Source organism: Homo sapiens, chromosome 10 (genome assembly GCF_000001405.40).
Source record: "Homo sapiens chromosome 10, GRCh38.p14 Primary Assembly".
In the NCBI taxonomy this organism is placed as follows: domain Eukaryota; kingdom Metazoa; phylum Chordata; class Mammalia; order Primates; family Hominidae; genus Homo; species Homo sapiens.
The window spans coordinates 69462175-69484377 of NC_000010.11; the positions used below are offsets into that span (position 1 = coordinate 69462175).

At 50.0% G+C, this 22203-nt stretch overlaps 1 protein-coding gene across 8 annotated transcripts in view, besides 3 other annotated features; it reads left to right on the top strand.

Moving 5' to 3' along the window:
• Positions 1 to 22203, top strand: part of TSPAN15 (tetraspanin 15) — a 98044-nt gene that overhangs the window by 10710 nt on the left and 65131 nt on the right. For 6 of the 8 annotated variants that reach the window (XR_001747072.2, XR_007061951.1, NR_147091.2 and 3 more), the window contains exon 2: positions 21517 to 21702. The exons of the other annotated variants lie outside the window; for them this stretch is intronic. Coding sequence is in view for 3 of the 6 variants with exons in the window: in XM_017016010.2 (XP_016871499.1) it covers positions 21517 to 21702 (186 nt within the window). In the remaining 3 variants the exon portion in view is untranslated. The remainder of the gene's footprint in view (positions 1 to 21516; positions 21703 to 22203) is intronic. 8 annotated transcript variants of the gene reach the window in all.
• Positions 2794 to 2883: an enhancer, noted in NCBI's record as "active region_3492". NCBI's record gives its function as "activates an Ori minimal core promoter by ATAC-STARR-seq in GM12878 lymphoblastoid cells {active_cell/tissue: GM12878}" and the evidence as "EXISTENCE:reporter gene assay evidence [ECO:0000049][PMID:35858748]".
• Positions 3024 to 3423: an enhancer, noted in NCBI's record as "active region_3493". NCBI's record gives its function as "activates an Ori minimal core promoter by ATAC-STARR-seq in GM12878 lymphoblastoid cells {active_cell/tissue: GM12878}" and the evidence as "EXISTENCE:reporter gene assay evidence [ECO:0000049][PMID:35858748]".
• Positions 12879 to 13173: an enhancer, noted in NCBI's record as "tiled region #14270; K562 Activating DNase unmatched - State 20:ReprD". NCBI's record gives its function as "activates a minimal TATA promoter and a strong SV40 promoter by Sharpr-MPRA in K562 cells {active_cell/tissue: K562}" and the evidence as "EXISTENCE:reporter gene assay evidence [ECO:0000049][PMID:27701403]".

Genomic DNA, 22203 nt, shown 5'->3' on the forward strand with positions numbered 1-22203 from the left:
TTTTTTTGTAGAAATAGTGTCTCACCATGTTGCCCAGCCTAGTCTTGAACTCCTGGGCTTAAGTGATCCACCTGCTTCCGCTTCCCAAAGTGCTGGGATTATGGGCGTGAGCCACCGTGCCTAGCTTTATCTGTAATATTTTTATTTTTATTTTATTTTTTAAGTTTATTTTATTTTTGAGACGGAGTCTTGCTCTGTCGCCCAGGCTGGAGTGCAGTGGCGTGATCTCGGCTCACTGCAAACTCCGCCTCCCAGGTTTATGCCATTCTCCTGCCTCAGCCTCCTGAGTAGCTTGGGACTATGGGTGCCCACCATCACGCCCAGCTAATTTTTTGTATTTTTAGTAGAGACAGGGTTTCACCATGTTAGCCAGGATGGTCTTGATCTTCTGACCTCGTGATCCGCCCGCCTCGGCCTCCCAAAGTGCTGGGATTACAGGCATGAGCCACCGCGCCTGGCCCTACCTGTGATTTTTAAACTTCCCTGGGTGATTCTAACGTGCAGCTGGAGTCGAAACCACAGCTCAGGGTGGTATCTGTAAGGGAATTCTGATGGTACTGGCGATTTCCAGGACACCTGTCTCTGCAGGTGAATCCTGAGTAATGTGAAACCTTCTTCTGACATCTCTTACGATCTGGACAGGTTCTCTGAGCTGGGGAAAGTTAGCAAACACAGTTGGGAGAGGCCCAGAAAGAAAGAGAACACTCTAGCCAGGGGTTTGGGAGAAGTGCAGGGGGAGTCAGTAGGGCCCCATGTGGGCGAGGAAGGGCTGGTGGAGGTATGTGGAGACCACTGGCCTGGGAATGTGGGAGACTATGGGAGCTGGCTTCTCCTGCAGGGAACCAGGATGATGTTGTGGGAGGGAGGGGAGTCTGTGAGTTCTAGAATTTTGCTTTCCTTTTGGTTGTCTTCAAAACATTCTTTTATGTGCTCTAAAGGCAAGGTTTCTATGCAGTTACCTTTGTAAATAGAATAAGTTTCTATAGAATCAGTCTTAACTTTTATGAGTCAGGGATTCAGAAACTTGTGGGGTGGCCTGTGATAATTTTTCCTCCTTCAATGATATCTCGAGTTTGAGAACTCTCGATGCAGGATTATCATGTTGGAAAGCTGGCTGTGATCTCCAGGTCAGTGAACTGCAGTTCTGGCCTCCATAGGAGAGGTGTGGCAGGTGGTGGTCTATCTCTACTTCACAGATGGTGAAAGAGGGCCAGACAGGGGAGAGGACCTTGCTTGGGATCATGGTGGTAAGCTAGGGGCCAGTTAGCAGAAGGATGAGGCCTTGATTTCTCACTCTGACTGGTGAGCTCTGTTGTGGGTTGAGTCGTGGCCTCATCAAAAAGGTATGTTCTTGGCCGGGTGCGGTGGCTCACACCTGTAATCCCAGCACTTTGGGAGGCTGAGGCAGGTGGATCACTTGAGGTCAGGAGTTAGAGACCAGCCTGGCCAACATGGTGAAACCCCATCTCTACTAAAAATACAAAAATTAGCCGGGCATAGTGGCACATGCCTATAATCCCAGTTACTTGGGAGGCTGAGGCAGGAGAATTGCTTGAACCTGGGAGGTGGAGGTTGCAGTGAGCCGAGATGGCGCTACTGCACTCCAGCTGGGCATCAGAGTGAGACTCCGTCTCAAAAAAAAAAAAAAAAGTATGAAGGTATGTATGTTTAGGTCCTAGAACCTGTGAATGTAACCTTATTTGGAAAAAGGGTTTTTGCAGATATAATTCAGTTCAAAATCTTGAAATGAAATCATCTTAGATGACCTGAGTGTGCCATAAATCCAGTGTCAAGTGCCTTTATAAGAGAAAGGCAGAGGGAGATATGAGACGGACAGAAGAGGAGGCCACGGGCACACAGAGGAAACTGAGTATACACGGCCTTCTGTGTGCAGACAGGGGCAGACAAACCGAGCAACTCTGGGAGCCACTAAAAGCTGGAGGAGGCAAGAGGGCTTCTCCCCTAGAGCCTCCGGAGAGAGTATGGCTCACCAGACACCTTGGCCTCTGGCCTCCAGAACTGTGAGAGATTAAACTTCTGTTTTAAGCCACCCCATTTGTGGTCATTTGTTCGGGCAGCCATAGGAAAATGCAAGCCCTTCTGCCTCACCAGGTGGACTTATTAGGGAGGGGCCCAACTGAGCAGGGAGGGCCCTGAGAACCACCTTCCTTCTGTGGGTTGTGCTGAAAACCAAGGGGGAAGGAGTGGGGCGAGAACAGAGGGGTTGGGGGAGGAGTGAGACTGTGGGGAGTGAGGCTTCTGTCCCGTCCTCAGGCCAGGGGGCCATGCCCTACTGCTGGTTTCTTGGGGCTTCCCTTCTGCAAGGAAAACCTAATGGAAAGAGGTTAAAACCGGGGAAGGTGGATGCGAGCTAGCTCTCAGGAAGGACTTGCCGGCTGTGAAAACAGTTAAATCAAAACTGCTTGCCAAGCTGAGCTGTAAAACGTGGGATTCCCTGACAGCTTCAGAACAGGAGCGTCACCCATTGTGTGGGGCAGTTAGGATGTGGCCTGAACTTCCAGTGGGTTGAACTTTGAGGGGCCGTAGAGGGCATCTAGTGTTACCCCTTCCTTTCAGAGAGAAGGAAACCAAGCCCCAAGCCACCCAGCATGTGCCCCTGGTTCTGAAACTCTGCCAATGGGACAATCTCTAGTGTGCAGGGGGGACAATGGACACTACTCAGTGGTTTCAAACCAGGAGCTTCCTCTCCAGCCAGGGTGTGGGGACAGAGGCCTGACTTATGACTTCTCACAGAGAAGGGAAGAATGTTCTCTGCAGGGTCAGAACCCAGGCTGGGGGAACCCTGTTCATGCCTCTGGCTTGGTTCTGACTCAGCCTCTGACCTGGGAGGGACCGGGTCACAGGGACAGATGAACCAGCCCTGTCCCTGTCCCCTTGAGAAGCTGGCACTCACTGAGTCCTAGCAGCATGCTCTGACAGCTGCAGACATTCTGTGATCTGGGTGGGGCAAGCAGGCCTGGCCAGAGTCTCCCAGGAGGCTGTGGCAGAGACACTTAGCTTCGGGGTGTTGGGCTCTGGGCTTCCCCTGGGGGTGGCAGTGGCCACTTGGCTTTCCAACCACTAGGTGGGTAGACTCATGTTCAGAGCAGAGACAAGATGAGGGCAGGAGTTGTTCAGGGACCCACAGACCCTGAGATGGGGTGGGGCCTACTTCTGGCCTGTTCATTTCTACAGTATTTTCCTTCTCCACTGTGGTCTTCTGGTGCCGGCCTCACATGGAATGAAACTTGACTTTTTTCAGCCAGGAATTCCCCCACACTCTGTCTAGCTGGGTTGTGCCTTCTGCATCCTCCTAGGTTGTCCTATATTGTCTTTAAAGCTAACAGTTAACGAGCCCTTCTTGTGTGCCAGGCTCTGGGCTGAGCTGTTTTCTAGCCATTCTCTCACTTCAACCTCCAGCAACCTAAGAGACAGCGCTGCTCTTGCCTGGTTTGCACTTGGGAAAGAGATGCTCAGAGAGTTAGGTAACTCACTCGTGAGAGCTAGAGGTGGGGTGTGAAGCCTCTCTCTCTCGGCAGACTTACCAGCTTCCTTCCTGGCCTAGATGTTTGTTCTTCTTTCTTGGAAGAACTTTTCTTAGAGTGATGGACTTTTTGGGGATGGGTGGTTTGGTCATTTAGTCACTCATCAAACATGTTCTAGGCATGAGGGCATCTCTGATCCTCCCCGAAGCTCTGCGCTTCCAGAAGGCCATCCCGGTCAGGTTTGTAACTTTACGTAGAAGTTACAAGACATTGCTAACACAGGGACTGGTATCTCTGCTGGAGTAGCACCAGCTTCCCAGGGCAGGGGCCACAGGCTCCCCTAGGGAGGTGGGCCGGTTGCCACCTTGTGTGGGGATAGAGGGAGCAAGCTGACCTGAAGTGGCACCAGAGGCCAGGGCCCAGATCCCACTGGCTCTCTGGAGCTGCAGGAAGGCAGAAGTGGGGCCAGCATCACTGTCCTTCAGAAATGCATCCTTTAATTTTTATTTTTTTGGATAGGATATGCCAGGGCGTGAGAAGTCTTGTTCCTGATGAGGGAGGGTGGCCTGTGGTGTGACAGAGCACTGGCCTGGGAGCTGGGAGACCCGGGTCGCAGCTGCTGAGTGAGGGCTAATTTGTGGTGTGACCTTGTGGGAGTGCCAGCCTCTCTCTCAGCCTCAGATTCCCGTCTGCAAAATCAGGGGGTTGGGCCAGATCAGCATCCCCCCGCTGATTCCTGGTGGTGCACAAGATGATTGTAGCTGGGCCATGGGGGAACATTTAAACATTTTAATATGCATGTGGGAAGTGTGATGTGTATTAAAAAAATAATTAGTACCTCAAACTTGTGATTGTGTAGATCTTGATTAGTTTAGGTCAGGACCGTATTTACTTGAGTAAGAAAAGCCAGTGGGGTTTTATTAAAACATCGAGTTAATAATAATGCAAGTAGCTGGCCAACCTGACCACGTGGAGACGTGATAGGAGAATGGCTGGAGTTTGGGAGACACTGGGAGTTCTCAGTGGTTCCTTCCAGCTCTTTTCTGGGAATGTAGGCAGTGTGGCACCTCTTGGTCAGGTGCAGACACTTAACACAGTCTGTGTACTGCTGACTGTTAGAGAAGGAAGTGGCTTCTCATTATGGTACAGCATCTTACAGTTTACAAAGGAGTTTCACCACCTCAGGGTCTCCTTCGCGTGACCATTATATTCCCATGTCACAGTGGAGAGGCAGTTGGCGCTCTGAGGGAGATGGTCTGGCCAGCATTGTGCAGCTCGTAAGTGGCCCAGCGCCTGCAGCTGGCCTGGGCTCTTTGCTGGGTCGCATCAGCGCCAGCCCTCTGGGAGCCCGTTCCTGACCTTTACCTCCTTTCCCGGCTGCCACTTTCTGCACAGGGTTTCATGGTCATGTTGGCTTGTCGCATGCATCTTCTCTTGTCCTGATTTTCTTAAAGCAGAGGAGAAAAGGATTTAAGGTGACAAGAGACCCTCCTTCTCCCTTCCCCCAGGCCTCTTCCCCATGCAGTGAGGGGCATGTTCTAAAGCCCTCGGCACCCTGTTTCCTAATAGGTGCACTTGGATGTGTAATAGGTAGGTTCCCATTACAGCCTGTATTTAGCTCCAAGTAGCAGTTAGTGAAACATCTGGTTTGGGCATTAATTCCAGGCCAGAACAGGCCACCAGACCCAGGCCTCTGGTGAGCTGACCCTTGCCTGGGGCCACTGAGACTTTCCTGATGGCACTGAATCTGGTCTGAAGCTTTAGGCAAAGGAAGACGCAAACCTGTAGTAAACAAACCTCTTCCTTTAGCCAGGTGTGGTGGCATGTGCCTGCAGTCCCAGCTACTTGGGAGGCTGAGGCAGGAGGATCGCTTGAGCCCAAGAGGTTGAGGCTGCAGTGAGCTATGATCACACCACTGTAGTCCAGCCTGGGCAATAGGGTGAGACCTTGTCTCCTCTAAACAAAACAAAACAAAACAACACACACACACACACACACACACACACACACACACACCTCTTCTTGGAAAACAGAACTTGGTTGCTGTAGAAAAGGTGAAAGAATGTTCTTGGATATAGTTATAGCCACAACACCATTATCATGCCTAAGAAAATACTAAGTTTATGCAAAAACATATCTAATTGTCCCTAAAACATCTCTCATAGTGTCTTTAAAAAAATCAGGACCCAGCATCACAGTTTATACATTGCGTTGGGTTTCTTTTTCATAAAAAATGTCCCAGTGCATCTGAAACTTGAGGGGTGACCTCTGAGGCCCTGAATGTTATAGCATCTGGGGTCCTGATGGGGACTGTCGTGTGTTACTTGCCTACGTTGTACCTGATCCAAGACCTACCGGGGCCAGCTGGTTCCTTTTGTTGTTTAAGGGAAATTCAGAAAGCCAATTAGGAAAGGCTTGCCTGGAAAACTGTCCCCACCCATGAGACTCCAGCCCCCGCCCCCCTCCCCCACGTTCTCATTAGGAGAGCTGATCGGTGTCTGGAAGCCAGACCCAAGACTCCCTGAGTCCCCACCCTTAATCACCAGGTGCACACACTGGGCCCTGTGTCAGGCACTGGGGAAAGATGCTCTAAAGAACTGAAAGACCCCCAGCTGGCTGCCCACAGCCTGCCTGGGGAGACCCGGTGTGCCCTGGTGTGGCCGGGTCATGGCTCTTGGCAAGTCAGTGCACTGATGTGTAGGGCAGTGGCTCTTTGTTCCTTGGTTCTGATGCTTGGGGTAGGCTGGGGTAGGGCCGAGAGAGCTCCCTTCTCTCATACCAGATGGGGAGCATTATCAGGTGGCTGGAGTATCCCCTAATCAATACTTTCTGTATCAAGCTGCGATAGAGGAAATGGACTTTTTTTTTTTTTTGAAAAAGTTAAACGCACAGAAAAATGGAAGGAGGAATTCAAAGAACATCTGCCTGCTTCTGAGTTATCAGTTGTGAACATCTTGTCTTAAGAGCTCTCTCTAAATACACCACTTCTTTTTTTGCCAACCCAGCTACAAGGAGGCTGCAGTCGTTGTGACCCCACTCCTCTAAATACCCCAGCATTCGCCTTCCCAGAAAGGGCATTCTTCCTCACACCACTGCTGTCCATCTGATTAAAAAAAAAAAATCACCATGAAATCAAACTTTTCAGTCCTATATACAGGCCACATTTCTTATGACATTCCTGTGTTGTAAGAAATATGTTTGTTCTTTGTCCCCAGTTCCTGGCACAGAGCTCTTAAAACCCTTGGAATTTCCTGATAGGAATGCTTTTTGTTATTAATAATGAGCCCGTTTAGTCACACCTGAGTTTACGCTGATGCGATGACTTAGGGTAAGGCCCTAGACGGCCTTAGGATGGGGCGAATCACCAGAAACACCAAATAATTAGAGGGCTGGACAGAAAGGGTGAGGGTGGGGGTGGGGGTTGGGGCTTGGAGATTGAGCTCTATGTAAAACTTTTTTTTTTTTTCCAGCTCTCAACCAGTAGAAGAGAAAAACTCTTGAACAATGAGATTTGATGAGCTTCTGGGTTTGGGAACTCACTGAGGTGTTAAGGGGTGAGCGTGGGCTCAGAGAGGGCCTGGGAGCTCCCTCCCCACCTTGCCCAGTGCATCTCCTCCCTCTGGCTGTTCCTGAGTTGTATTCTTTGTAATACACTGGTTAATATAAGTAACCCTGAGTTCTGTGAGCCATTCGCGCAAATTATCAAACTTGGAGAAGGGGTTGTGGGAACCCCTGACTTATAGCCAGACTTTGAGTCCTGGACTTGTGATTGGCATCTGAAGGTCAGGCAATCTTGTAGGCTCTTTTGAGACAGAGTCTTACTCTGTCACCCAGGTTGGCCGGAGTGCAGTGGCTTGATCTTGGCTCACTGCAACCTCTACCTCCCAGGCTCAAGCAAACCTCCACCTCCCAGGCTCAAGAAATCCTCCCACCTTAGCCTCCCACGTATTAGGTTGGTGCAAAAGTAATTGCAGTTTTTGCCATTACTTTTAATAATAATATTTTTTTAAATAGCTGGGACAACAGGTGGACACCACCACGTCCAGCTAATTTTTGCATTTTTTTGTAGAGATGAGATTTTGCCATGTTGCCTAGGCTGGTCTCAAACTCCTGGGCTCAAGCAATCTGTCCACTTTGGCCTCCCAGAGTGCTAGGATTACAAGCATAAGCCACCATGCCCAGCCTAATCTCGTGGGCTTGAGCACATTAACCTGTGGGATCTGATGCTAACTCCAGGTAAATGTGTCAGAGTTGAATTAAATTGTACGACACCCAGCTGGTCTCTCAAGAGAATCAAAGAACTGTCTGATGGTATTGGAAAGCACCTCATTCCCCAAATGTTCTTTGTGGTGATATTTTACCCAATTCAGGATCCACCCAAGGTTTGTACATTACTTCTGGCTCTATGTCTCTTTAATCTCCCCCAGGCTAGACTATCCTTACTTCTTTTGAGTCCTTTGAAGCCTCCAGGCCACTTGATCTGTAGGATGTCTGAGTTGCTTCATAGCTTCACAGCTTCCTCATGATTAGGTTCAGGCCACACATTTCCTGCAGGAGCATTTCACAGGGTGTGCAGCGGGAGGTATGGAATATCACATTAGGGGGTGTGTGCTATCTGGCCACACCATGGTTGGCCAGGCTGAACTTGACCAGTCCTCTCCATTGCAAAGGCACCTTTCCCCATGATGATGAACACATAGGCTGATGTGAAACACCCTGGTGAAAGAACTTTTAAAAGTTAATCTGAATGTGAGACTCCCCTGCTTAAATTATTTCAATTATTTCCCTATTCCAGCCTCAAAATACACTGCCTGCTTCTAGACACCTTCACATGCCCACTGTGGTCCAGGCCACTGTCACCTCACATTGGTCACCACAGTAGCTCCCTGACCAGCCCCTCCCACCTGCATCTCCCAGTCTCTTGGCATAGCAGTCCAAGCAACTCTTTTAAAGATCACAGCCAGGCATGGTGGCAAGTGCTACTTGGGAGGCTAAGGCAGGAGGATTGCTCAAGCCCAGGAGTCCGAGACCAGCCTGGGCAACATAGCAAGACCCCATCTCAATTATTTAAAATAAAAAAAGATCACAGTTGGAACAGAGCACTTCTCTGCAAACTTTCAGTGCCTCCCATCCACTCAGAGCAAAAGTCAAGTCTTCTCAGTGGCCTCAGAGTCCCCTCCTGATCAGCCCACTGCCTCATCTCCTACATGCTCCCTCTCCAGCAGCCCCGTCCCCCTTGCTGTTTCTTGAAAACACAGGCACATCCCAAGGCCATGGTGCCTGCTTGGATGCTTATTCATGTATCCGTGTGGCTTGGTCCCTCCTCTACTCCAAGTCTTTGCTCACATGTCACCCTCCCTGGCCACACTGACGGCCCCTTTCCCCAGCTTCCCTAGCCTTCCTCCCCGTTTTATTTTTCTTAGTAGCACTTATAACCATAGCACAGTATATGTTTTTCTTACTTATTTGCCTCTGCGCAAGTAGAATGTGAGCTCCACCAAAGCTGGGATTTTTGTGGTTTTCTTTCATTGCTCTCGTTGCACACCCAGTTCTTAAAATAGTAGCTCCCAAAGTGGGTCTAGGGACCTCTGGGTTCCCCTTTCAGGGGCTCTTGTATCTAGAACCACTTTCATAGTAATAGTAAGACTCCCACTGCCACTCTCTTGGGAGCATGTGATGGAGTATTCCAGAGGCACCTGAACACTCGATGTGGCAGTGGAGCCAATGAGGAGCAGATCTGAGAATCCAGCTGCTTTCTTGGCAGCCAGACGTTAACATTTACAAACATGCAGAGCCCACGCCACTCTGCCCACTCAGTTTTTGTGTCTTTTGGGGGAATTTTTTAAATGAAAAATGCTATTTAACATATAAATCAATCTTTCTTTCTTTCTTTCTCTCTCACTCTCCCCTTCTCCCCACCTTCTCTCCCTCCCCTCTTCCCTCCCCTCCCCTCCCCTTCTCTTTCGACTCTGGTACCCAGGCTGGAGTGCAGTATTGCAATCTCGGCTCACTGCAGTCTTGATCTGAGCTCAGGCCATCCTCCCACCTCAGCCTCCCAAGTAGCTGGGATCACAGAGCCGTGCCACCACACCTGGCTAATTCTTCTTACTTTTTGTAGGGATGAGGGCTCCCTGTGTTGCCCAGGTTGGTCTCAAACTTCTGGACTCAAGTGAACCTTCAACTTCCACTTCCCAAAGTGCTGGGATTACAGGCATGAACCACTGCTCCCAGCTATCTCTTGTTATTTCTAAATGGGCTAATAAATATTTAAAATAAGTCTCAGTTTTAATTTATGGTAAATAATTGATGGATATCATCATAAACAAAAGCTCCAGAATCTTCAAACATTTTTAACAATGAAAAGGAGTTCTGAGACCAAAAACTTTGAGACCCACTGGCTTTAAACAATGCCTGGTGTGCAAAAACCACTCAGTCAATAGATGTCATGTGAATAAATGGACTTCTTGGCTTAACCCATGAGACCTGGCCTTGGTGCTCTTGCTTCTGTGAACCTCCCTGTTCGCCTCCCCTTCCCTCATCCTCTGCCTGTCCTTGATTCCAGCTCTGCTGACCTGACCTGCTGTTCCTGTGGTACCTTCATGGGCATCTGGAACTCCTTATCCCTATTGTCCACCTTAGGAATTCCTGCTTGTCCATTAAATGGACTCCGTTCAAACGTAACCTCCTCCAGGAAGCCTTCCCTGATCTTGCCTTTCTGATTTAGTGTCTCCTCTCTGGCGCCTTTGCACACTTGATCACATCTACCCCAGGGTTTTGCTGATTCCCACATGTGTTGGTGTGCTGGTATGTCTCTCACCAGACAGAGCTCCTTGAGGACAGGAACTCATCTTATCTGCTTATTCCAAATGTCTGGTACATAAGAGGTGCTTAGTGTATGTGGAATCAGTGAGTGCTGCCTTGGAATTCAGAATAGGGACTCCTCCCTCCCTGGAATTAACCCTGGACCAAAGAGGGTCTGAAGGGGAAATGGTTTCTGGCTTCTGACTTGGGTTTTGAAATGTCAGCATTACAACAGTGCTACATGGTTACTGGGGAAGAAGTAACATTTACTGAGCGCCTGCCGGGTCCCAGGAGCTTTTGCGTGGCATCTGGCTTCAGGATATTGTGGTTTGTTTGGCCATTGTGAACTGGCTTGGGCCCTAACCACTTTCTGTCTGGCTTCCATGAGGACAGTGTGGTCTTGTAACTAAGTCACCAAACTTCTGTGAACTTCTGGGACATCCTAACACATTTGCATAGTACGTGCAGACTGTGAAGTTGTTGAGGGCAAAGTTGTATGTGTGTTGCTGGATCTAGCCACCATGTCCTGTATGCTGTCCATAAGAGATACCCGGAATTCCCTGTCCAAAGGGCATAGTTAATACTCTCAATATCACTACCAGCAAGGGCTTCCCATTGTTGGTTTTATAGATATTCAGAAGTGGAGAGATATCCCTATAGCTGGGGTGATCCAGGAAGACTTCCCAGGGGAGGAGGGCATTTTGTTGTTGTTGTTTTTAGACAGAATCTTGCTCTGTCACCCAGGCTGGAGTGCAGTGGCACGATCATGGCTCGCTATAGCCTTGATCTCCTGGGCTCAAGCGATGGGAGGAGGGCTTTGAGCTGAGCTTGGAGGATGGGTATGAGCCCCTTTTGGCTTTAGTATTTCCAGGAAACTGTCTCCTTTCCAAGGCTGCTATGGGAGGCAGTGCTGGAGGTGTGTGCCTTCATCAAGGCTGGGGAGGGAAGGCATTGCTGTCCGCTTTAGGGTTTTACCCTTGCGGAAATGTGACATCCTTGGGCTGGGTGGGAGAGCAGAAGGCAGCCCGTGGGGGCGGAGTCAGAGCAGTGTGTGGGGCGAGAGGAGGAGGGGGGCCGCCCACAGTCTGCTGATGTGCCAGGATTTGAGGGGAATTTCCATGGACTCCCGGAGCAGTAGAGCAACCCTTGGGGTTGTCATGCCAACTGGGAAACTGAGGCTCAGAAAAGGTAAGGGACTTGCCCAAGGTCACAAAGAGTTGATAGCAGAGCTGGGATTGGAGCCTAGGGTGCCCATGTGGCCAGCCGCCCAGTGCTCCTTCCCTTTCCCCTTTGTCCTCTTTGGAGACATGAGCCCTTGGACTGGGGCCATTTATCTTCATTAAGGCCCTGCACGTTCCAGACACTTGAGATCTGATTGCCTCCTCTGCCTTCTATCCATAGTTCAGGGGCAAAGGGTACAGTTCCGATGTGGGATTCCATGCAAAGGGGGAAAGAATAAACCAAGGGCCACATATATAAAAAGCAATTTGATGCATTTCTTTTTTATATAGGAAACTACATCTAACATTAAAAACAAGATACATGAAATAATAATAAGCCTTAACATTGCCCAAGTTGTGTAGAGACAGTTTCTATATGCCTGATTCAGCCAGGTGTCCCCTGGGAGCCGGCAGTTCTGACTGAGCCTCACATCCTCGGCTCCTGCTGCTGGAGTTCCCTTCATCTCTGCCCACCCTCCTCCCCCCACCTGCTCTCCCCACCGCCTGCTCCTTTTCAGATGGCTCTCCCTTATGGCGGCTTCTCCTCTCAGCAGCCCAGAGGGGTCAGGACAGTGAGACCACAGGGCACTCCCATACCCCTTCCCTGGAACTCCTCTTGCCCTCACTTTGGGCCCCATGAGGATAACTCTCAGGCAGTCTCTAGGGAAGACCCTAGGCCAGTGGAGGAATAGGGGATGCATGAACCAGTTCCCAGACAGGATGGGCTCCGAAAGGCTGCCAGGACCTTGGACTGGAGGCTGTTGTATAGGACAAAGACCTCCTGTCATCTCTGTGAGCCCATGTCTCCTTTCAAAGGGTCTGAGAGAAGGAAGATCTGGGCCATCTTACTCACTTCTGCTGGTGGTGGCCTATAGTTACGAGTGGTGGAGGCTTAGCTGATTGGGTGCTGTGGGCTGCAGAGGGACACAGTCCTGGCCAGAGGAAGGAGGAGGAGGGGTGACCAGCAGTACTTTGACACAGGAATATACCCCTGAGCGGTTACCCTGGGAGGAAGCAAGCCCCACTCCAGCCCACCCCACCCAGCTCTTCATTCCTGGGCTCCCTAAGCCCATACCCAGAATTCCAGTCTCCTTTCCCCATTCCTACCCCGCAGCTAGAGCTCCAACCCCAGACAGAGGATGCTGCTGGCAGTGGCCTGAGCTGGGGACTTCCTGTCTCACTGCCAGGGCCAGACATCCAGGGTGCATCCGGGAGCACTGTCTTCTGCTCTGACTGACCTCTGGCTACTGAGTCAGCGGGGTCTGGGGGGGCCTGGCCGGAGGTCCACCCAGGGCTGAGATCTGGGAAGAAAATCACCAGACACCATTACCCATGTACGCTGGGGACACAGCCTTGGGAGGCAGGCCCGTGGCTCTCTTGGTTCAGACACATGGAAGGTGGGGAGAGAGAGACAGAGAGGTCTGGAGAGTGAGGGAGAAAGAAAACCAGGGGGAGGAGGGTGTTGGGTGGAGATGAAGTTGCTCTTGACTCTCCTTCCCATGGCTGTTTCTGTGGTTCTCCGATTAACCATGAGTCATTCTTATCCTTAAGCCTTGGAAGGCTCTGTTCCAGACTGGGATCATCGCAGAGTTCCTTCTTTGGGCTTACAGGCGTCTGAAGCCATAAACCATTTCTCAGATTTATTCTCCCAGCAGATATATTAGGCCAGTCCCTGTGCTCAGGGAGGGTCCAGTTGCATGAAGTCAAACTCTGTGCATCCTTCAGAGTCCTTCTCTGGTTTCCCCAGGAGGAAGTAATTGCTCTGCATCTTGTCTCAGAATGCCTTGGTCAGTTATTTGTTCTACCGCTTCTACCTGCCTGTCCCCAAACTCTTCCCCAAAACAGCCCAGGGCATGCCATCCCCACTCCCACCCTGTGCTTCATTTGTGGTTGTTCTGGATTAGAAATTCCACTCTCTGCCCTGGCTGGATTGAATAACTGGGGTTTGCAAAACTCCCAGCCTAGCTCCTTCACAGCCTGGAATGTGCTGTGTGCCTGTGGGAGTCTTAAATCAAGTATCTGCAACTATTGCCAACAGGAGGGGTAGCAAAACAGACTGGTGTGCCCACTTTGCTTCCTAGAGAGGTTTGTTTTCCAAAGGCTATGTTTGTCACCTTTGAACTGATGAACCCAAGACGTTAGATGTCTTTCTCCAGCTCAGACACCATGGAAAACTTGAGGGAGGCAATGAGAACTGTTGTTAAAGAAGCCATAATTCTTTAAAGAAACCATAAATTAAGAAGGGATTATTTATTTAATAACATTAATAAAGGGATAATTTACAAATAATAAATATTTATTTATTATTTCTTCACTTAGGAGCAGGAAGACCTGCTAGAGTAGAAATGTCATTTCTCCCCAAACGGATCTATAGATTCATTCTGGTTCCAATCAACGTCCAGTTCAGTTGATTTCCTCCCGAGACTTGAGAAGATGATTCTAAAATGTGTATGGAAGATTCGAGATCTAAGAATATCTAGGACACTTCTGAAGAAGACAGGAAGAAGAGACTTGGCCTACCAGATGGCAAGATGTGTTGTAAAACTGAAGTCATTACAATAAGGAGGTTTGTTTAGGGACAGACAGAATGACCAATGGAAGAGATAGGCAAAAACAGCCCCAGGCATATGTAGAACCTTAGAGTATGACAGTGGGGTCATAGCAGATCAGTGGGGACAGAAGGACTGGTTTGATCAATGTGCTCTGACGTTACCAAAAGTAACAAACAAAGTTGGGCATGGCGGTTCACACCTGTAATCCCAGCACTTTGGGAGGCTGAGATGGGAGGATCGCTTGAGCTCAGGAGATCGAGGCTGCAGTGAGCTATGATCACGCCACTGCACTTCAGCCTGGATGACAGAGTGAGACCCTGTCTCAAAGGGTCTCAAAAAAAAAAAAAAAGTAACAAAAGCAGGCTGTGTCAGAGAATGTCAGGGACTGAGGATTACAATTCACCAGGTTCTCTGTACTTGATGTCCAGTTTTTATAAAGGAAGAAGTCCTGTCCAGAGTCAAGGCAGGGTCGACAGCAAAGTACTAGTGACAAAGACAAGTGAATGCGCCTTTGCTGGCGGCAGGAGGCAGCCTCTGCTGCTTTCTCAAGAGCTGGCTTTGATTTGGGGTTGTGGGGGAGCCCCGTTCCTCAAGCATAAGTAGGGCCAGGTCAGTGGGATGGAGGTTCAGTGTCCCCAGAACTTAGAGTACCGCCTGGTGGTCCTGGAGGTGGGGCCGGTGCTCCCTAGGGGAGACAGAATGGGCCCTTTAGCGGTTTGGATTGGGGGCACTGCCAGGACCTCCTATCCTTGGTCTGTTTTGCTTTCCTTACAGGAAAGGGGAGTGGGACAGCAGGAACCCAGCTGCCCTGGGGATGTGGGAGAGAAGACTGTTTTCTCCCGAGTAAGTTGGTGAATACTTGCTGAGCCTTCCCTAGCTTGTGGCAGGAGGGTTGAAGCATGTGCCTTTTTCTTTTTCTTTGAGACAGAGTCTCACTCTGTCGCCAGGCTGGAGTACAGTGGCACAATCTTGGCTCACTGCAACCTCCGCCTCCCGGGTTCAAGTGATTCTCCTGCCTCAGCCTCCCGAGTAGCTGGGACTACAGGTGCACGCCACCACACCCAGCTAATTTTTGTATATTTAGTAGAGTTGGGGTTTCACCATATTGGGCAGGCTGGTCTCGAACTCCCTTGGCCTCCCAAAATGCTGGGATTACAGACATGAGCCACTGCACCCGGCCACCTTTTTCATAAGGATGGGCTCTACCTTCAGAAAGGAACCTTGTAGGAGTGGTGAGGGGCAGCACCAGCGAGAGATGCTCTAGACTTGTGCTGTCCAAAATGTGGCCACCAGCTACCTGTGGTCGAATTTAACTTAAAGCAAAATAACATGGAAGGTTCAGTTCCTCAGGCACCAGGGCCCCGTTTCAAGAGCTTGCTAGCCACACGTGGCTCGTGGATACCACACTAGGTGTTGGCATCATCTAGGAAGTTCTCAGCACTGCTGCTCCGCTATTGTCGGCTTTGTATTTTGCAAAGGTGTTTCACACCCCTTTCCCCCCAGTTCTTCATAAAAGGCCCATCTGGTAGCCTTAGTGGCTGGCCAGGCAGACGAGTTTTGGTTGTGAATCCTGACTGTCTCATGGGTTCTGTGCTGCTTAGTCTCTTTGAGCCTAGTCTGTAAAACGAGATTAGTTGTTCCTTGGATGTTTGAGGGGGTATGTTGATTAAGGGAGATGAGATGATGCAGGTATGACCCCTGACAGGATAGTGGCAAAGCATAATCACTATAAGAGCCAACAGGCTTTACTGTTTTACAGGTGAAAAATGAGGCCCACAAGCGGGAAGTGACATGGCCAAGGGTACTGAGCTCACCCATGGAGGCCCAGAACTCCTGCCTTCTATGTTGCCTCTGCTGCTCCCGCCAGCACCCTGCTCTGGGACAGGAGAAGCTGGGGCAGCAGTGTGCAGAGCAGGTGGCAGTGTGCAGAGCAGGTGGCAGTGTGCAGAGCAGGTGGCTGTCTGCAGGGTGGGCTTGGTCTGGGGCCAGGCAGGATGGGCCTCGGGACAGAGGGCCTTGGGAAGGGAGGTGCAGGGTTTCTCTGGGCAGGAGGAGGGGGTCCTGCTAGTCCCACTTTATTCAAAACCTCTCTCAAGCCTTGGAGTTTAGCTCTTCCCCACCCCCTTTCAAGCTAGAAAGTCTGAAAAGCGCTTTGTTTTGGTCCAACACGGAGCCCTGGACCTCAAATACTCCATGAGACGGTTGTGGAATGAAGTGGTTCTCAGGGCCTTCCAGGAAATGCGGGCTCTGGCAGGGGGCTCATCCTGATGTTCTGCGCTCTCCCTCTTCCCTGTCACTTTTGTTCAAATTCCTAGAGCCCTCTTCACCTCTCCATGGCAGGAATGATATTTGCTTCCTGTAGACCAGGGGTTCTTTTTTTGTGCCAGGGACCCTTTGGTTCTCTGGGGAAGCCCGTGGATCGATCCTTTTTCAGAACAAGATATTTAAATGCATAAAACGAAATACACACGGATACAAAAGAAACCAGTTATAGTAGGATACAATTATTAACATTTTATACAACCAAATTTTTGATGTAATAATGTGCAACTTTATCAGCGCATTCAATCACAAGATCTAGCAGTGAGCCTAATACTATCATAATTTTGAAGTAATGAGGAATGTAAATGACATTTTAAGATATTCAGAATAATTGTAAAGTGATTTCTACTGGTGACAAAATTGCAGGTGCCGTTAATACTACTTCAGTTTGTTGCCCACATCCCACATGGAAGGGATATTTCAGTTAGAGGTAAACAAAAGTAAAGATGTGGATTTTTCTCCATCTCCAGTTTGAGAGCTCCCTAAATTCCATCCATTGGACCATCAGTTCCAGCCTCTCTTACTCTCCCTTCTCAATAGTCTTCTGGCCCCTTGTGAGCCTATAGAACGTAATACAGGGCCTGGAACACAACAGAGCCTAGTATTTGCCTTTTGGGGGTGAAAATGGGCCTTGCAGGTCCTCGTTAAGTGCAGATTTGCCCCAGCTGTGGTGAGCCAGCCGGCACGGGTGACCAGATGCTTCCTTCAGGAGGCACAGGTGCTGGAATGCCTCACAGAGTCTCCTGCTTCCCAGCAGCTGCCTGGAACTGGGCCTCTCCCTGCACAGGAGGAAGCAGGGTTCCAGGATGCAGAGGACCTTCAGGTCTGGTTCATGCTGGGCCACAGGGCTCCTCTGCAGCCTGTTGAAGATGCCACGTGGTTCACAAAGCCTGGGCTTTTGGGCTTGGCTGTGGGCTGCCAGCAGCACGCACTTTCCCTCTTTGGCCCCAAATGGGCATGGCCGTGTGCCCCCCACCCCCAGCCCTGTTTAGCTGAGGCCATCCTGCTTGACAGATGGGCCATTTGCTTCCTGTTCTAGAGCTGAGTGGCCGGCTGCCTAGTGGAAGGCTATAATTAGCAGAGTGGAGCGGATGGGATTGCATGCTGGCATTGACAGATAATTTTATCCTCAGATGGATAAACTGATGTCATCAGAGATGTAAATATCATTTGGAAATTTTGAAGTTCCTGGGAAGGTTTATGCTGGCCTCTCCCCATGCCCGCTGCTCTTGGGAGCACTTGAATGGGGAGGCCAGAGAGGCCTGTGCTGTATGGGGAGCTGCCTGGGAGTTGCCTGCCAGGCTGCTGGGAGGGTTGGGGTGGCAGCTCCTTCTGCTAGACCAGGAGAAATAGGGCCTAGGATTGCTTGAGGGAGTTCTTGGTTTACATTTGCTTTGGGAGCTTTTCCCATGGGGTTTATGGTCTGGAAATGTCTCAAGGCTAACTAGCAAGGAAATGGCAATGCTTTATAACAGCAGAGAGTGAGATCAGAGCAAGGGGTTTTGTTTTCTGCCAGCAAGGGTGTTCTGGAGTGGGTCCCAGGGCTCTGGGGAGCTTGTAAAAATAGAAGAAGCCACTGACTGCCTTTATGGAGAGGGCTGGGGTCAGTTCTGCTCAGCATTGGGGCCAGTGGCAGCTCTGGTGTTTGGGGGATGGTTTCCAAAGCAGACTACCTTAACTCAGAAGCACAGTCTCAGGCAGGAAGGAGGAATGGGAACAGGATGGGGGCAGGGGAATGGGGAAGGATGTCAGCTGTCCCCATCCTGCCAGGGAAGAAGAAGCATTTTTTTTTTACAACAGGGAACACAGAACTTTCAAAAGTATATCGGGCCAGTTCTGAAAATGTTAAGATACAATAGTTGTGTTCGTTCCACGACAGGGTGAGAATTACGCTTTTCATCAAAATGGAAGATAAAACCCTACCTCTGCTACCTTCCAGTACCCGAGTCCCTGAATATTTTATTCACTCCATGCCTGGACTCTGAAAACTTCCATGCTCTATGGGGTTCTTATTTAACCATGATTCTCTGCTTTGAGGTGGATGAGCCTCAGGGCTCTTTTATTTGTCCAGGTTTAGAGTTTAGTGAGTGATTCCTCATGGGTGGAGTCACTGAGGAAGGGGACTTGGCCTTTTTTTTCTTTTCTTTTCTTCTTCTTTTTTGAGACAGAGTCTTGCTCTGTCACCCAGGCTAGAGTGCAGTGGTGCAATCTCGGCTCACTGCAACCTCTGCCTCCCTGGTTCAGGCGATGCTCCTGCCTCAGCTTCCCAAGTAGCTGGGATTACAGACATGTGCCACCAAGCCCGGCTCATTTTTGTATTTTTAGTAGAGAAGGGGTTTTGCCATGGTGGCCAGGCTGCTCTCGAACTCTTGACCTCAAGTGATCTGCCCACCTCAGCCTCCTAAAGTGCTGGGATTACAGGCGTGAGCCACTGCGCCCGGCCTGGACTTGGCTTTTTAAAGGCTGCTCGCCATTGCTCTCCGAGGACCTGGGGCACTTAGGCTGCCCCCAAACAGTGATTTCTCCATGTTCTGGGTTTTGGAGCATGACTGTGTCTGTCCAGATAGTCTCTGGTTTACCTTTCTCTACCAAAAAGTAGATATTTTTCATGGTCTTCATTTTCCTGTAGAGGATGAGTATGTGTATGTGTGTGTCCTGCCTTCTAAGGCCAACTTGTTAGTAAGTGGCTGATGGCTGAGCTTGTCAGTGTCTTGAGTCCCTGCCGGCCTGTGTGTTGGAAAGGCATCCTTCTAGACTGGGGGGAAAGGTCTCACTAATCCTGGATTAATTTTCAAACCAAGGGGAATGGCACTTAGCCTTGAAACATAGCAGAGTACTGGATCCAAGTGAGATGGTTTCCTGGTAATCCTCTGTTATCCTGTGTTTCTGCATAAGCTCTGTCTGCTTATTTGACTTTTGGCATCCCCGTCACGCATCAAAGCTTAGGAGGAAGCAGTCACTTCCCTTTATTCAGGACTTAGCTCTCTTTAGAAGGAGGTCACGGGCATCTGCTTAAGGACATGATGATCAGTAAGGAGACCCATGAAGTCAGTTTAAGGCTCAGGCAGCCCTGTGAGTGGCTGGAGGGGCGGCCTCCTCGGTGTTTTGCATGGTGACACTGGGGTGGCTATGCTCATGTCACCTCCCGACAACATCTGTCTGTATCATCCCTTCCTTTCCTTGGACCCTAGCTGACAGCACCATGTCTTCCACTTACTCTCCCATGTTGCCTTCAGCTTAGTGGAGAAGTCCAGTTATCTGATGACTTGTCCCTGCCCTCTGGAACATGAGGCCCAGAAAGTCAGAATCCTTGGACAGGCAGGGGACTGGGTAGACAGTGCCTGACTTGAACTCAGAGGGTCTATTGGAAAGCCCAGGTCTTGTTCATTCAGAAGATGTTGATCATAAATGCTGATTCTACTTCCTCAGTGTCAGAATGTCTTGGTGCTGGGGATGTCCGAAGCAATTGAAAAATCCCTCCTGGAGCTTATGTTCTAGTGAGGAAGACAAATTCAAAAAAAAAAAAAACCAACCAGAAATAGTGTAGTATGTTAAATACTGGTAAGTGCAAAGGAGAAAATAAAAAAGAGAAAGGAGATCAGGAGTTTCATGGGGAGGAACTTCCCATCTGTAAATAAAGTGGCCCTGAAGGGCCTCCCTTTGCAGGCGGCAACTGAGCAAAGAAGAGAAGGAGATGGGGGAGTAAGCCATGAGTGTGTCAGGGGAAGAGCATTCCAGGCAGTTGGAACTGCCTGTGCAAAGGCCCTGGGGTGAGCACACATGGCAGTTGACAAGCATCAAGAAGCCTGGGTTCTCCTAGTGGAAAGTTACAGGGTGTTCTGTGACAGCATGTCCACTATTAGAAAAGTTGAGTGAGGGATTCTACTTGCGAATTCCCTCAAAATTCTTCCTGCTCCAACCTTTGGCCTTCTCTGTGGTCATCCTGAAAGTAAATTCCGTGTTATGGTACTGTGTGAAATGTCTGTTGCCCTGAGCACGGGGTGACCTGCCTGTTTAATACGCGTTGTGGCGGCCTCGCACTTCCAGGTTTGTAGTGTTTCCACATTCATTCACTCGCGAAAGCCGTGGTGTGAGCAGTGCAGAAATGAATGTCTTCAAGTCTGTCTTTCAGATGAGAACACAGACTCACATGGTCAAATGCCTGTCCAAGGCCCAGGGTTAGCAAGTAGCAGAGCTGGGGCTCGAACCCATGTTCTCTGACCCTCCAGCCAGTGGCATTTCCCCTAACCCATCTATACTCTCCTCTAAAGTGGCATCTCCAGATTGGGTCTGTAGTAGTCTGCTAGGGCTGCCATAACATCAAGTACCAGACTGAATGGCTTAAACAATAGACATTTATTTTCTCACAGTTCTGGAGGTTAGAAGTCCAAGATCAAGGTGGCAGGGTTGATTTTTTTTTTTTGTTGTTGTTGTTGTTGTTTTTTGTTTTTTGAGACCGAGTCTCGCTCTGTTGCCCAGGCTGGAGTGCAGTGGCACAATCTCGGCTCACTGCAAGCTCCACCTCCTGGGTTCACGCCATTCTCCTGCCTCAGCCTCCCGAATAGCTGGGACTACAGGTGCCCGCCACTATGCCCGGCTGCTTTTTTGTATTTTTAGTAGAGACAGGGTTTCACAGTGTTAGCCATGATGGTCTCGATCTCCTGGCCTCGTGATCTGCCCGCCTCGGCCTCCCAAAGTGCTGGGATTACAGGTGTGAGCCACCGCGCCCGGCCTGCAGGGTTGATTTCTTCCGAGGCTTGTCTCTGGCTTGTAGACGCTGCCTTCTCCCTGCGTGTTCACACAGTCTTCCCTCTGTGAGTGTCTGTGTCATAATCTCTTCCCCTTATAAGGACACCAGTCATATTGGATTAGGGCCACCTTAGTGACCTCATTTTAACTTTAATTAGTTCTTTAAGGGCCCTGTCTCCAAATATAGTCACATTTCGAGGTACTGGGGGTTAGGATTTCAATAGAGAAAATTTGGGGAAACACAGTTCAGCCGCTAACAGGGCCCTTTCTGTGCTGTAACCTGGGGCAAGCCTCCCCCACAGCAGGTACCACAGCCCCAGATGACTCTTTGCTGTAGAAAATCAAGTGACCTCAGTCTCTCTCTCACCCTCTGTTTTCTTGCTGCAGCTGATTGGGGCCCTGGTCCTGTCTGTGGGCATCTATGCAGAGGTTGAGCGGCAGAAATATAAAACCCTTGAAAGTGCCTTCCTGGCTCCAGCCATCATCCTCATCCTCCTGGGCGTCGTCATGTTCATGGTCTCCTTCATTGGTGTGCTGGCGTCCCTCCGTGACAACCTGTACCTTCTCCAAGCAGTGAGTGGACCACACCACCCCTCAGCCGGGACTCCCCAGGAGAGCTGGGGCGCCTGCCCCTGTGCCCTTGGGCAGCTCAGTTTCTTTTGTCCCTGCCTCAAACCACCTCCTTTAGAGAGCTCCTTAGATCAGCCCATCTGACCACACTGGCCCAAGAATGCCCAGGCCACCTCCCCTCCTGCATGTAAAAGCTGATTTGAATACTGTTCTTACTTAAACTCTGTGTTCATCTGGATGCTCAGTTGCGAGTAGGAAAAACCACACTCAAATGAGAGCAAGCAAAGACAAAAAAAGGAGATGGTAGTGAGTCATTAGCTCATGCAACCAGCAAACCCACACTGGGTCCAGGGGTTTAGATGGCGCCACTGGGCAGGGTTGGGCAATCTCCCCAGCCCCTGCCAGCCGGGGCTGCTCCCTTTGCAGTGGTCACTGCCGGCGTCAGGCCAACAAAGTCCTTATGGTTCTAGATCTCAGGAAATCTTTCCTACCAGCTCTGGCCAA